This window comes from Homo sapiens, chromosome 3 (genome assembly GCF_000001405.40).
Source record: "Homo sapiens chromosome 3, GRCh38.p14 Primary Assembly".
In the NCBI taxonomy this organism is placed as follows: domain Eukaryota; kingdom Metazoa; phylum Chordata; class Mammalia; order Primates; family Hominidae; genus Homo; species Homo sapiens.
Window position 1 is genome coordinate 158,329,057 of NC_000003.12, and position 13,964 is coordinate 158,343,020.

Genomic DNA, 13,964 nt, shown 5'->3' on the forward strand with positions numbered 1-13,964 from the left:
ATAGTTCTTGTGCCATGGTTTTCAGCTCCATCAGGTCATTTAAGGACTTCTCTACTCTGGTTATTCTGGTTAGCCATTCATCTAATCTTTTTTCATGGTTTTTATCTTCTTTGCATTGGGATCGAACTTCCTCCTTTAGCTCTGAGAAGTTTGATCGTCTGAAACTTTCTTCTCTCAACTCGTCAAAGTCATTCTGCATCCAGCTTTGTTCCATTACTTGCGAGGAGCTACGTTCCTTTGGAGGGGGAGAGGTGCTCTGATTTTTAGAATTTTCTGCTTTTCTGCTCTGTTTTTTCTCCATCTTTGTGGTTTTATCTACCTTTGGTTTTTCATGATGGTGACATACAGTTGGGGTCTTGGTGTGGATGTCCTTTCTGTTTGTTAGTTTTTCTTCTAACAGTCAGGACCCTCAGCTGCACGTCTGTTGGCGTTTGCTGGAGGTCCACTCCAGCCCCTGTTTGCCTGGGTATCAGCAGCAGAGGCTGCAGAACAGCGAATATTGCTGAACAGCAAATGTTGCTGCTTGATCGTTCCTCTGGAAGCTTCATCTCAGAGGGGTACCCGGCTGTGTGAGCTGTCAGTGTGCCCCTACTGGGGGGTGCCTCCCAGTTAGGCTACTCGGGGATCAGGGACCCACTTGAGACAGTCTGAACATTCTCAGATCTCAAACTCCGTGCTGAGAGAACCACTACTCTCTTCAAAGCTGTCAGACAGGGACGTTTAACTCTGCAGAGATTTCTGCTGCCTTTTGTTTGTCTATGCCCTGCCCCCAGAGGTGGAGTCTACAGAGGCAGGCAGGCCTCCTTGAGCTGAGGTGGGCTCCACCCAGTTCGAGCTTCTGGGCTGCTTTGTTCACCTACTCAAGCCTCAGCAGCGGTGGGCACCCCTCCACCAGCCTCGCTGCCGCCTTGCAGTTCGATCTCAGAGTGTTGTGCTAGCAATGAGCGAGGCTCCGTGGGCGTTGGACCCTCCGAGCCAGGCGCAGGATATTATCTCCTGGTGTGCCGTTTGCTAAGACCCTTGGAAAAGTGCAGTATTAGGGTGGGAGTGACCCGATTTTCCAGGTGCCATCTGTCACCCCTTCCCTTGGCTAGTAAAGGGAATTCCCTGACCCCTTGCACTTCCTGGATGAGGCGATGCCTCGCCCTGCTTCAGCTCACACTAGGTGGACTGCACCCACTGTCCTGCCCCCACTGTCTGACGAGCCCCAGTGAGATTTCCTCAGTTGGAAATGCAGAAATCACCCGTCTTCTGCGTCGCTCACTCTGGGAGCTGTAGACTGGAGCTGTTCCTATTCAGCCATCTTGCTAATGTTCTATGAACAGATTTTTGTACGTATCTTAAATAATTGCATTAGGCTAGATTCTTAAAATGAAAATCCTATGTCAAAGGGTATGAGTATTTTAAATGTTCTTAATATATAGTACCCTACCATTTTCTGGATGGTAGGCAATTTTGGACACCTTTTCGTGTTAACATTGTCATTGTTTTCAATAGGTACACTATATCTCATTAAGTAGAGTGACCTAACTAGTTCTTTATTGTTGGATATTTAGGTTATTTTTTGATCTTTGCTCTTCTAAGGAATTTTCTGAATATCTGAATGTTCTTAGCTTTTCCATGTTTTAAATATTTTCTCTAGGTCCCCAAATTGGAAACATTTTCTCAAGGAGTATGAGTACTTGAAGGGCTCCATTCACATAATTTTAAATTGCTTTCTATAAATATTATATCAATTTATAATACCGCTAATGAGGCATGAGAGTTTTACATCTGTATTAGTCTGTTCTCATGCTGCTAATAAAGACCTACCTGAGACTGGGTAACTTATTAAAAAAAAAAAAAAAGGTTTAATGGACTCACAGCTCCATGTGGCTGGGGAGGCCTCACAATCATAGCACAAGACAAAGTAGGAGCAAAGTCATGTCTCACATGGCAGCAGACGATACAGAGAGCATGTGCAGGGGAATTCCCCTTTGTAAAACCAATTAGATTTCTTGAGACTTAATCATTATCACAAGCCCTGCTCCCATGATTCAGTTACCTCCCACTGGGTCCCTCCCACAACACTTGGGAATTATGAGAGCTACAATTTGAGATTTGGTGTTGGGCTCAGAGGGTGAGGGGAACACACACAGCCAAACCATATCAACATCATTGGCTAGAATTAGCTGTCATTTATATTTTTCACATTTACATATTTTAATAATGGCATAGTGAATTCTACAAGAGAAATTTGAGGAGAGAGCTTGACTAGTAGTCTTTTGTGCGTGTGAGTTTCTTATGCTTTTTTGTTCTCTTTTAAGAATTAGTGATTTTGTTATAAACTTACAAGAACTTTTTTTGAATGAAGCTATTAACTTGGTTAAATTTGTTTCTAATAAATTTATTGTCACTGTTTTGCCATTTTATTTTAGTTCTGTGTTGCTGGATACTTTTTATATAAAATTGAATATTTTTATGTAGTCAAATCTGTTGGGTTTTTTTCTTTATGATTTCTTCTGTTACTTCTAAGCCTAAAAATTCAGCCCTTCTCCCATGTGAATTCTTATTCTGTTAGTTTGAACCAAATGAACTTGCCACTTTTATAGTTAACAAATGATTAAGTATCAGTATTTCATATAGTTTAATCTTGAAGTTTTTTTGAAGTGTATTCATTTTCCTTATTGGAATATTTTTTTCCTCATGGCCTAACAAATAAAAAACAAAATATATGCAAAAAACCTGAATAAGATTACATATTTTTTTTCATTTTGGTATAGTGGTCTTTTTTTTTTTTTAAGTATAAGTGGGTGTTAATCATGTGGTAAAGAGTTGGATTATCATTCCTACACTACCATACTAATATATTATTTAGTTGCTCTTTCATAATATATATCTTTTAAAGTATACAAAGCAGTACTTTTGATTATATATTGTTATTAATGTAGCAAATTTCATAAATAAAAGTAGAACTTAATTTATGTCATTTTTTAGGTCAGAAAAGAGGAGTCACAAAGAGACTAGCAAGAAAGAGAGAGGGATCTCTGATTGTTTTAGAATGAAAGCCCAAGGAATAATGTATTCATTATATATATTTATCTTACTTTGGCTCTACATTAGAATTTTAAAAGAAATATACCATCATAAATTAGCAATCAAGTTTCTGCCAATACTTTTTAATCATAACTAACAACACCCATAGTTTTGGACTTTCCTGAAGTAGAGATCATTAGTTATGATGAATTGTGAAGTGGTTTTGTGATTATACTAATGTTGACTAAAACATCCGTGTTTGATCATCTATATCATTTTCACTTATTACTTGAGCCAGTTATTGATTCTAGGTCTCCTGGGGCAAAAAACTGGTATGTTTATTCATTATAAGTTTCACCTCTTAAAATAAATCCGTAACCTCATGGTAGGAGCAGGAGTAGGTGTCAAAAGTTAGATTACAGGCAAAACTTAAATATTTCTTGCAAAACTTAAACATTTCTTAAATAGGGAGACTGTTTTTATGAAAACGTGTGATATAAACATACTTTGTACTTAATTATAAACTTCAAAATTTTTAATTTACTATTTTCCTTATCTTTTAAAGATTTTTTCCTTTTGTCATAATATCCATTTTTCCCTGATCCATCCAGTCAAATTTTACTTAGAAAACAGATAGGATTAAGGATAAAAAAGAAAAAGAAAAATTATTACCATTTTGCTATGTATTTTTCTATGATAGCATATTATTTTGAATTTTTTTTTCCAAATCTGGATCATTTTACATAGTTTTGTAGTTTTTAAAAAATGTAATGTTAGCATTTCTGCATGTTACTAAATGTCTTTACATTTGAAAAATTGACTGTTATGCTACTTCCATCATGGATTTGGACCATAATTTATTTAATCATTTTTCTCTTAGGGATGCTTTTCTGTTTTTTGTTTTTTTTTTTTTTTGAGACAGAGTCTCGCTCTTTCGCCCAGGCCGGACTGCAGTGGCGCTATCTTGGCTCACTGCAAGCTCCGCCTCCCGGGTTCACGCCATTCGCCTGCCTCAGCCTCCCAAGTAGCTGGGACTACAGGTGTCTGCCACCATGCCCAGCTAATTTTTTGTATTTTTAGTAGAGACAGGGTTTCACCATGGTAGCCAGGATGGTCTCGATTTCCTGACCTCATGATCTGCCCACCTTGGCCTCCCAAACGCTTTTTTGTTTTTAGAAACATTGTGATGAGCAGACTTGCATAGGTAAGGAAACCAAAGCCCTCAGTCAATTCTAGAATGCAGTTCTTCTGACATCCAATTAATCTTTTGTGTTTTGCCTTTTTTCCTACCATATAAAACTAGTGATTACTATGAAACATGCCCTCTATGCAAATATTCCATCTAGAAAAATCTCTCAGTACAGTATTTAAATAAAATTATTTTTTGTAACACATTTATAGTAGCATGAAATAAAGTATGTGTTTGATCTTTTTTAGTTGGTTAATCTGTATTAGTGTGTATTTTGAACACATTGGTTCAGACAGCTCGATATTTAATATATTTTTTAGGACAAAACATATTGTAAAAAGCATTCTAGTACTTTCAGCACTTTTCATTGAGTGAGGACAAAGCTTCAAAAAAGTAAATTTGAAAGCTCTATCAGAGGCAAAGTAAAGTAACTGCATTCAAAGATAGAAATTATAACTTGGAATAAAAACACAGAAGGTTTTGTCAAGGGAATTAAAAATCTATGTGAAGTCTCTAAAGCAAAGAGAGAAATAGGTAGACTGTTCCAGGTAATTGGTGCTGCAGGAGAACACCATTCCCTTTCCAGCAGTCATACAAAGGGAGACAAAATAAAGAAGTTGAAAGAAAAGTAGAAGTTGAAAGAAAAGTAGCACAGAGAATGGGTGTCTTACAAATAACCATTGCAACACTACAGAAGGATTTAAAAAGTGGGAAGTATTATTTTAAACTGAATCCTAAAAGGGTCAGGAAAGACATTTATATAATTGTTTAAAATAACGTGTTTTCTAGAACATCCTGAAATGTTAATGTTTATGGACTAAAAAATGTGCTGATACTTAAAATTATGGCAGCAAAAAAAGAAGGCTATAAAGATGCTAAATAAAAGAAGATACTAAAGCAGGGTTTAAAACTATATAAAGTTTATTTTTATTATGCCACCACATACCTTTTCATTTTAGAAAAAATTTAGGAACCTTTGAAATTATTTGAACTTTACCTTTTAAAGTATAAACAACTGTTATTGAGTCTAATTTTATTTTAACCTCTGTGTCATGTCTAAAAGTATTAGTAAAAATAACTAGTTTTGTGTGAAATTATTTTAAAATTTTATAGAGGTCTAATGTCATAAGTAACTGATACATATTAAAAGCTGTAATTTCTTGCTTTTATGGGAGAATCTCTTGGTTTAGCTATTTTAAAAAGGTCTCAATTTCTAACAGGAGAATTTTTTTTTTTTTTTTAAGATGGAGTCACTGTGTCGCCAGGCTGGAGTGCAGTGGTGCGATCTCAGCTCACTGCAACCTCCGACTCCCTGGTTCAAGGGATTCTCCTGCCTCAGCTTCCCAAGTAGCTGGGATTATAGGCACATGACACCACACCCAGCTAATTTGTGTGTGTGTGTGTGTGTGTGTGTGTGTGTGTGTGTATGTGTTGTGTTTTAGTAGAGACAGGGTTTCACCATGTTGTCCAGGATGGTCTCGATCTCCTGACCTCGTGATCTGCCCACCTCAGCCCCCACAAAGTGCTGGGATTACAATCATGAGCCACTGCACCCAGCCACTCAAAGGGGAATTTTAAACATTTCTGCTTAGTGGCATAATGTGTAGCCATTACAAATACATTGTGATTTGGTCTGTTGTTTCTTCCATTTCCTGTTTGTTTCTAAACTTGCATTAAAATAGCCAAAGTTTTTTTCCTATCTCTTTGCCTACCTTGGCTCCACAGAGTGGAGAGAATTTTCTATTTCATCTACTTAACTTTCACATAATGCTGTTTCCTTTCCAAATCTAAGCCTTAACTTCTGTTAAAAGTTGGTTTCAGTATTGAGGCTCCAAAGCTAGGACTAGGAATAAAGGAAACTAAGAAATGAAGAGGGTACTCATTTTGCAAGAATAGAGAGGTGGCAGTCTGTAGCATTTTTAATAAAGATTTTGAATATTCTGTAGATTGTGAAGCAGACCATACTGTATCCAACCAACCAAGGTGGAGGTAGAGAAAGATGGTGGAATTTCAGCATTTTTATAACTAAGAATGACCGGACACAAAGGAAATTCCAAGTAGAGGGTTTGGCATGAGTGAAAGCAGAGGGAGGAAAATGCAGGGCCTAGTTGAGAAGTAGTGAAAGACCATGTATTGCTGAAAAGTTGGCTATGAGTATGAAAATGGTTAAAAAATGACAGTGAAAGAATAAGCTTGGGATATTATTGATAGCATTGAAAATTAAAGTGATAAGTTTATGCTTAATTCTGGAAGCAGCGGAGGGTCATTGAGGTATTTTTTAAGGTACAAACTAAATTGGAGCCTTGCTTTGTGAAGATAACTTTAGCAGCTGTATATGCAATGGAAAGGATAAGTAGAAAGGATATAGCTGCAAAAGTCTAGATTTGGAGTCAATAGTAGTCTAGATCATGGGTCAGCCTGTTTTTTATAAATGGCCAGATTTAGGATTTATGGGCCCTGTAGTCTCTATTGCAACTACTCAATTCTGCCACTTGGAGCCATAGGTAATTTGTAAATAATAAATACAGCTGTGTATTTGGTGTTTTGTTTTTTTTCCAAAGTAATTTGTTTAATTGATGAACAGTTAGAATCTATGAAAAATTGCCATATTGTTCTTTTGATACCTTTGGAAGGGTCTTGGGAGTTATTGGGCAATGATAGTAGAGATTCTGAAACTTTATTCTTGAGGCCTCTAGATTAAGTGCACAGTAGCATCCTCTCAGTCAGGCTGACTGCCAGAGATTTAGAAGCAGTAATTCCAGAGGAGGACTCATTTAATCCGCAACTGTAAGCTCTACTGCCCAAATGATATGCTCTGCACTGACACATCACTTATCTTTGGGCACATTTTGCCTACTCACTTGTCTATGCCTGCCTAGGCAATGAGGAAGATGCTGCGGTTGTCCTCTGGGTAAGGGCACTGCAAGTCAGCTGGGAACAGGTAACATCCTATGGTCCTACGCTTCAGAGGCCTCTCCATTCATTGGTCCGGCCCCTGGCTGCCTTTCTTTCTTGGCAGCATTGTTTTTGGTTTTGCAGTGGTGGAGGATAAAGATGAGGGTGAGGTGGGGATGCCAATCATAATGTTCTGGGGTTCCTCTGGGAGGCTTTGGTTGTGAGGTAGGGCAATTGAATAGCTGGGCTTTGTGGGATTGCCAGGAAATTCTTTGACCCCCAGCTCCAGAGGGTCACTGGGGTGAGACCACACATTGGGGTCATTGCTGATGACACTGAAGCATCTGTAGGTCCCTGCCCATGTGGAGGTGACACGGTTCATGAGGAAGACAGCCTTGTGTTCATTACCCTGGGATGTTCATTGCCTTTGGTTCTTGGTGGTGTGAAATCCATCTTATTTGGTGAGAATAAATAAACCAAGTTCAAATTTTGAGAAACATTGCAACTTCATATTCTCTCGTGATGCCACCTCAGTGCCTGGCATGATTGAGAGAAAGGGTTTGTCATAAGCTGTGGTCATTACCAGCTTCAGAGGTTCACTCAGACTAGTGGTCTCTGCTTCAGTAGTAACAGTGGTACAGCCCTGACCTGTTTGGCAGCATCTCTGTGATATTCCTTATGTTCGTCTTCCCACACTCATTTATTTCTGTTGGAGGGCTCAGGACTTTCCACGTTACATATCCTATGTGTTTCAGTTTCTGATGGCCCTTGACCAGGATGCTTACAGACTTGTTAGATGAAATCAGGGAGCCCGGCATAGCCGTGATAAGAGGTGGGAGATTTCCCGTCTGTGCCTGAGTTAACTGGCATGGATAGGACCCAAGACAAAGTAGGGTAAGAAGAACCACATTTATGATCCTGTGTCTAAACAGTCTCCCTGGCCTCACCAATGCTGCTCTTATGAAGAACAGGTCCTCTGCCATGTGAGAAAGACCTGCAGGAAGTTGTAGGAGTGTCCCGCTTCCCACGCGGAGAGCGAAGACATTCCACATCCTCATTCCACATCCTCATTCCACCTCCTTCTGAGTGGGGCTGCAGAAGTCCTTGCTATCATGAAGACATTCATCATCTGCACTTCCAACTAAAATCAGTCTCATGTGATCCGTTTTTTCTGTCCCCAGTCCCACATCAGCATTTTAATCTTTGTACAAAGCATGGGGTAAGAGAGTCTCAGACTAAGTAACAGGACAGGGAGAACTGCCAATCCGAGAGCTGCTCTGAAATGCTGTGTGGGCGCATGGCCCTTGCTTCTTAATGCTGAGCTTCCATCTCTTTACATACATAATAGGGAAATGATGATGAGTTCCTGCAAATCTATGATCATAGTGGGTACAAACTGTCCAGAATAGGCATTGCTGGAGAGGTGGTTAGAATAATTATTAGTTTCCCTTTCTTCCCTTTCTATATTCCTAACATATTGTTAGCACTGAATCTGTCCATGGGGGTCAATTTTGACCTAAACAAGATACCTCCATTATGTTAAGTCCTTCCTGTGTTCTAAAACCTATCTCATCCTGGCTGCACCTTACTTAGTAGCTATGCTATCGATTCTCCTAGCTAAACAGGTAGCCTCGATGTAAAATCTTACCTTCCTTATACCCTCATGAACCACTTCTCTCCAAAAATCTGAAATAATTTAATAGCTAACGCTTTACTGAGTTTTCATTTTATGATGATTACATGGAGAAGGATTACATTTAATCTGTACAAAATCTGTGGTAGATTGAATTATTATTCTACATTTTTAAGTCAGCTCTTAATTCATTAGATGCTGAGGCTTTTGTATGGCTATGTATTTGTATAGTATACAAGCAGCATCACTGAGGAGGTAATAGTATTGGATCATGAATATGGGCTCTCAAGCAAGTCCTCAAGGATGTTGTAACCTTTGCTTCAGTTTCACCTTTATAGTTTAACATCCTCATCTATGAAATATGTATATAAAATGGCATCTTTCTCTGGTTTTTAATAAAGACAGCTATTATATAACTTTGCTTTTTTTTTTTGCAAACCCCTTAAACTGTTTAGAGAAAATGTTTGATAAAACTCTTCAGATGAATTTGCTATCAAGAATGGAAAACATGTTCTTGGGTTTTTTTCTTTTCTTCTTTTGGTTTTTATTTAAACCAACTTGGTACTAAGTTCTAGAGGCAAGATAAATCTACTTTTGAGCTATTTGTAATATCTCTAGCTTAGACCTTGATCCTAAGAGATAGAATTATAGTAACTGTTAAAATGAAATGTAGCTAGAAATATGATAAGCTGTTGATATGTGTCTCTGTCATAGTGAGATTACATTTAAAGGAAACTGCACAGTACCTACACTGCAAATATGTTTAGTAGTTTTTTAAAGTTGTGCATCTGAGAAAGCATGATTAAAATTAGCTTTTTAGATGGTGCTCACAACCTTTAAGGCCATTAATGGTAGCATCCAAAGACTAAAGGAAATTTAGTTTTAACTCTGCATAGTCTTTTCTGGCAATTAAAAATGATTAGATTTATCTTTTTTCCCTATGAAAGTTAATGAGCAAATGGATCTCAAGCTGTTGTAAGCAGTGTAGTATTGTTAAGGCTTAGATGTTGTGAGCTGAATTAAAATTCAAGCTCTGCCACCTTGTCAGCTTTGCCATTTAAGGTAACTTATTCTTCTCTAAAAGCATTAAGAATGCCTGCCTTGTTAGGAATGTTGTGAGAATTTTGTTAAATGAGGTATGTAAAATGTTTAGCATGGGATCTCGAACATTATAAGCATATGATAAATAATAGATATTATATTTTTTCAAAAATGATACTAGGGCCGGGCGCGGTGGCTCACGCCTGTAATCCCAGCACTTTGGGAGGCCGAGGAGGATGGATCATGAGGTCAGGAGATTGAGACCATCCTGGCTAACAAGGTGAAACCCCGTCTCTACTAAAAATACAAAAAATTAGCCGGGCGCGGTGGCGGGCGCCTGTAGTCCCAGCTATTCTGGAGGCTGAGGCAGGAGAATGGCGTGAACCCGGGAAGCGGAGCTTGCAGTGAGCAGAGATTGCGCCACTGCAGTCCGCAGTCCGGCCTGGGCGACAGAGCGAGACTCCGTCTCAAAAAAAAAAAAAAAAAAAAAAAAAATGATACTAATATTTTTCAGGCAGCTAATGTTCTATTTCAGGAATGTCTGTCATGTTGTCTGGGAAAGATATGGCACATAGAAGTTATCACTTATGTGCATTTGGAGCTCATAAGATCACTTTAAGAATTGCCATTGTATTACCAAATAGTTTGGTTAATTATTATTTATAATGTAGATTACGTGGTTTATTATTACCATGTGTTGTAATTTCTCTTACACCATTATCATTCCCTTAAACATCCAGCTCTTTGAGTTGGATGAATCCTTCCTAAGAGATAGATTTCAGTGAAATTGATAATTCAAAAGTAAATTATGTATGACACTAAGGAGGATTTTAAAGTTTACAAGGAAGTTTATCTCAAATATATACTTACTGATCACCAACTGTATTTCAGGCACTCTCCTAGGTGCTAATGATACAGAGATATAAGACAATGGTTGCTTTCAAAAAGCTGATAGCCTGGTAGAAAAGACAGACAACAGAACAATTAATTAAACTGAAAATGATAAGTGTGCTGATACATGTTTCCCCAGGGCATTACAGGAAGACAGAGCAGGAAATTGTAATCATCAGGAAGAGAGTTAGGGAGAAAATAAGCTAAAACTGATGAGATTTTCTGAAAGTGATGTTACTTGAGCTGAGCTTTGAAAGAACACTCATTAGTTAGGAACAGGAAGTTATGGAGACAAAGGCAACATATAGATTTATATGTAGAGTGATATGCTTTGGCTGTGTCCCCACTAAATCTCAACTTGAATTGTATCTCCCATAATTCCCATGTGTTGTGGGAGGGATCCAGGGGGAGGTAATTGAATCATGGGGGCTGGTCTTTCCTGTGCTATTCTCGTGATAGTGAATAAGTCTCACGAGATCTGATGACTTTATCAGGGGTTTCTGCTTTTGCTTCCTCCTCATTTTTCTCTTGCCGCTCCCTGGCCAGGCATGGTGGCTTACACCTGTAATCCCAGCACTTTGGGAGGCCGAGGTGGGTGAATCACAAGGTCAGGAGTTCAAGACCAGCCTGCCCAATATGGTGAAACCCTGGCTCTACTAAAAATACAAAAATTAGCTGGGCATGATGGCATGCACCTGTAGTCCTAGCTACTCAGGAGGCTGAGGCAGGAGAATCGCTTGAACCCGGGAGGCGGAGGTTGCAGTGAGCTGAGATCACACCACTGCACTCCAGCCTGGGCGACAGAGCAAGAGTCCGTCTCAAAAAAAGAAAAAGAAAAGAAAGACAAAAAAAAGAAGTGCCTTTTGCCTCCCACCATGATTTTGAGGCCTCCCCAGCCATGTGGAACTGTAAGACCAATTAAACCTCTTTCTGTTCCCAGTGTCGGGTATGTCTTTATTAGCAGTTTGAAAACGGACTAATACAGTAAATTGGTACCAATAGAATGGGGTGTTGCTGAAAAGATACCTGAAAATGTGGAAACGACTTTGGAACTGGGTAACAGGCAGAGGCTGGAACAGTACCTCCTGTGGAGGAAAATGTGGGAAAGTTTGGAACTCCCTAGAGACTTGTTGAATGGCTTTGCCCAAAATGCTGATAGCGATACGGACAATACAATCCAGGCTGAGGTGGTCACAGATGGAGATGAGGAACTTGTTGGGAACTGGAGCAAAGGTGACTCTTGTTATGTTTTAGCAGAGAGACTGGTGGCATTTTGCCCCCACCCTAGAGATTTGTGGATGATTTAGGGTATCTGGTGGAAGAAATTTCTAAGCAGCAAAGCATTCAAGAGGTGACTTGGGTATTGTTAAAGGCATTCAGTCTTAAAAGAGAAACAGAGCATAAAAGTTCAGAAAATTTGCAGCCTGACTACGCAATAGAAAAAAAAACATTCTCTGGGGAGAAATTCAAGCTGGCTGCAGAAATTTACATAAGTAGTAAGGAGCCTCATGTTAATCCCCAAGACCATGGGGAAAATGTCTCCAGGCCATGTCAGAGACCTTCATGGCAGCCCCTCCCATCACAGGCCCAGAGACCCAGCAGGAAAAAGTGGTTTCGTGGGCCAGGTCCAGGTCCCTATGCTGTGTGCAGCCTAGGGACTTCGTGCCCTGTGTCCCAGCCACTCCAGCCATGGCTGAAAAGAGCCAATGTACAGCTCGGGCTGTAGCTTCAGAGGGTGGAAGCCCCAAGCCCTGGAAGCTTCCAGGTGTTATTAAGCCTGCAGGTGCACAGAAGTCATGAATTGAGGGTTGGGAACCTGTGCCTAGATTTCAGGAGATGTTTGGAAACGCCTGGTTGCCCAGGCAAAAGTTTGCTGCAGGAGCAGGGCCCTAATGGAGAACCTCTGCCAGGACAGTGCAGAATGGAAATATGGGGTCAGAGCCCCCACACAGAGTCCCTAGTGGGGTGCTGCCTAGTAGATCTGTGAGAAGAGGGCCACCATCCTTCAGGCCCCAGAATCACAGATCTATTGACAGCTTGAACCGTGTGCCTGGAAAAGCCACAGACACTCAATGCTAGCCCATGAAAGCAGCCGGGAGGGAGGCTGTACCAGGCAAAGTCACGGGGTGGAGCTGCCCAAGACCATGGGAACCCACCTCTTGCATCAGCGTAATCTGAATTTGAGACCTGGAGTCAAAGGAGATAATTTTGGAACTTTAAAGTTTGACTGCCCCACTGGATTTCGGACTTGCATGGGCCCTGTAACCCCTTTCTTTTGGCCAGTTGTCTCCCATTTGGAATGGCTATATTTACCCAATACCTGTACCCACATTGTATCTGGGAAGTAACTAGCTTGCTTTCGATTTTACAGGCTTATAGGCGGAAGGAATTTGCTTTGTCTCAGATGATACTTTGGACTGTGGACTTTTGGGTTAATGCTGAAACGAGTTAAGCCTTTGGGGTACTGTTGGGAAGGCATGGTTGGCTTTGAAATGTGAGGACATGACATTTGGAAGGGCCAGGGCAGAATGATATGGTTTGGCTGTGTCCCCACCAAATCTCAACTTGAATTGTATCTTCCAGAATTCCCACATGTTGTTGGAGAGAGCCTGGCGGAGGTAATTGAATCATGGGGGCCAGTCTTTCCCGTGCTATTCTCGTGATAGTGAATAAGTCTCACGAGATCTGATGAGTTTATCAGGGGTTTCTGCTTTTGCTTCCTCCTCATTTTTCTCTTGCCACCACCATGTAAGAAGTGCCTTTCACTTCCTGCCATGATTCTGAGGCCTCCCCAGCCATGTGGAACCATAAATCCAATTAAACCTCTTTCTGTTCCCAGTTTCAGGTTTGTCCTTATCAGCTGCATGAAAACAGACTAATGCATAGAGATAATAAATTATTATTAACATGCATGGCTATATGACTTTCAGCAAGTTATTTTCCTTCACAAGATTCTTGTTAGTATTAAAAGAAATAATAGACTGCAGCTTCCAGTCACGATGGAATAACAAGAATCAGATTTACTCTCCTTGAAACAACTAAAAACGCGGACAAAATATTTGAAAAAACAGCTCTCGAGACAGTGAACATCAAATATGAAGTATGATGATTCCTGAGAGATGGGGAAAAAAATGAGGTGATTCCTATGATTGCCTCAACTTACTGCCTAGAGAAAGATTCTAGATCATGCTACAAAGAGGAGAAACCCAGGCAGAGCCTAGTGGTCTCCTTGAGTTGAGAAGATGGAGCTGTGAGACCAGGAAGGCCAAAGCATCTGGGATTCACAGAACAAGTTACCTG

The 13,964-nt window shown here is 40.0% G+C and overlaps 1 protein-coding gene and 1 pseudogene across 5 annotated transcripts in view, besides 1 other annotated feature; one reads left to right on the forward strand and one right to left on the reverse strand.

Annotated features, from left to right (window-relative positions):
* RSRC1 (arginine and serine rich coiled-coil 1) overlaps positions 1-13,964 on the forward strand; it is a 435,642-nt gene that overhangs the window by 218,968 nt on the left and 202,710 nt on the right. The window lies entirely within an intron of this gene.
* Positions 410-939: an enhancer, noted in NCBI's record as "H3K4me1 hESC enhancer chr3:158047255-158047784 (GRCh37/hg19 assembly coordinates)". NCBI's record gives its function as "activates a minimal SCP1, AML or CMV promoter by ChIP-STARR-seq in primed H9 embryonic stem cells {active_cell/tissue: H9 hESC(primed)}" and the evidence as "EXISTENCE:reporter gene assay evidence [ECO:0000049][PMID:30033119]".
* LILRA2P1 (LILRA2 pseudogene 1) lies at positions 7,192-8,004 on the reverse strand (annotated as a pseudogene).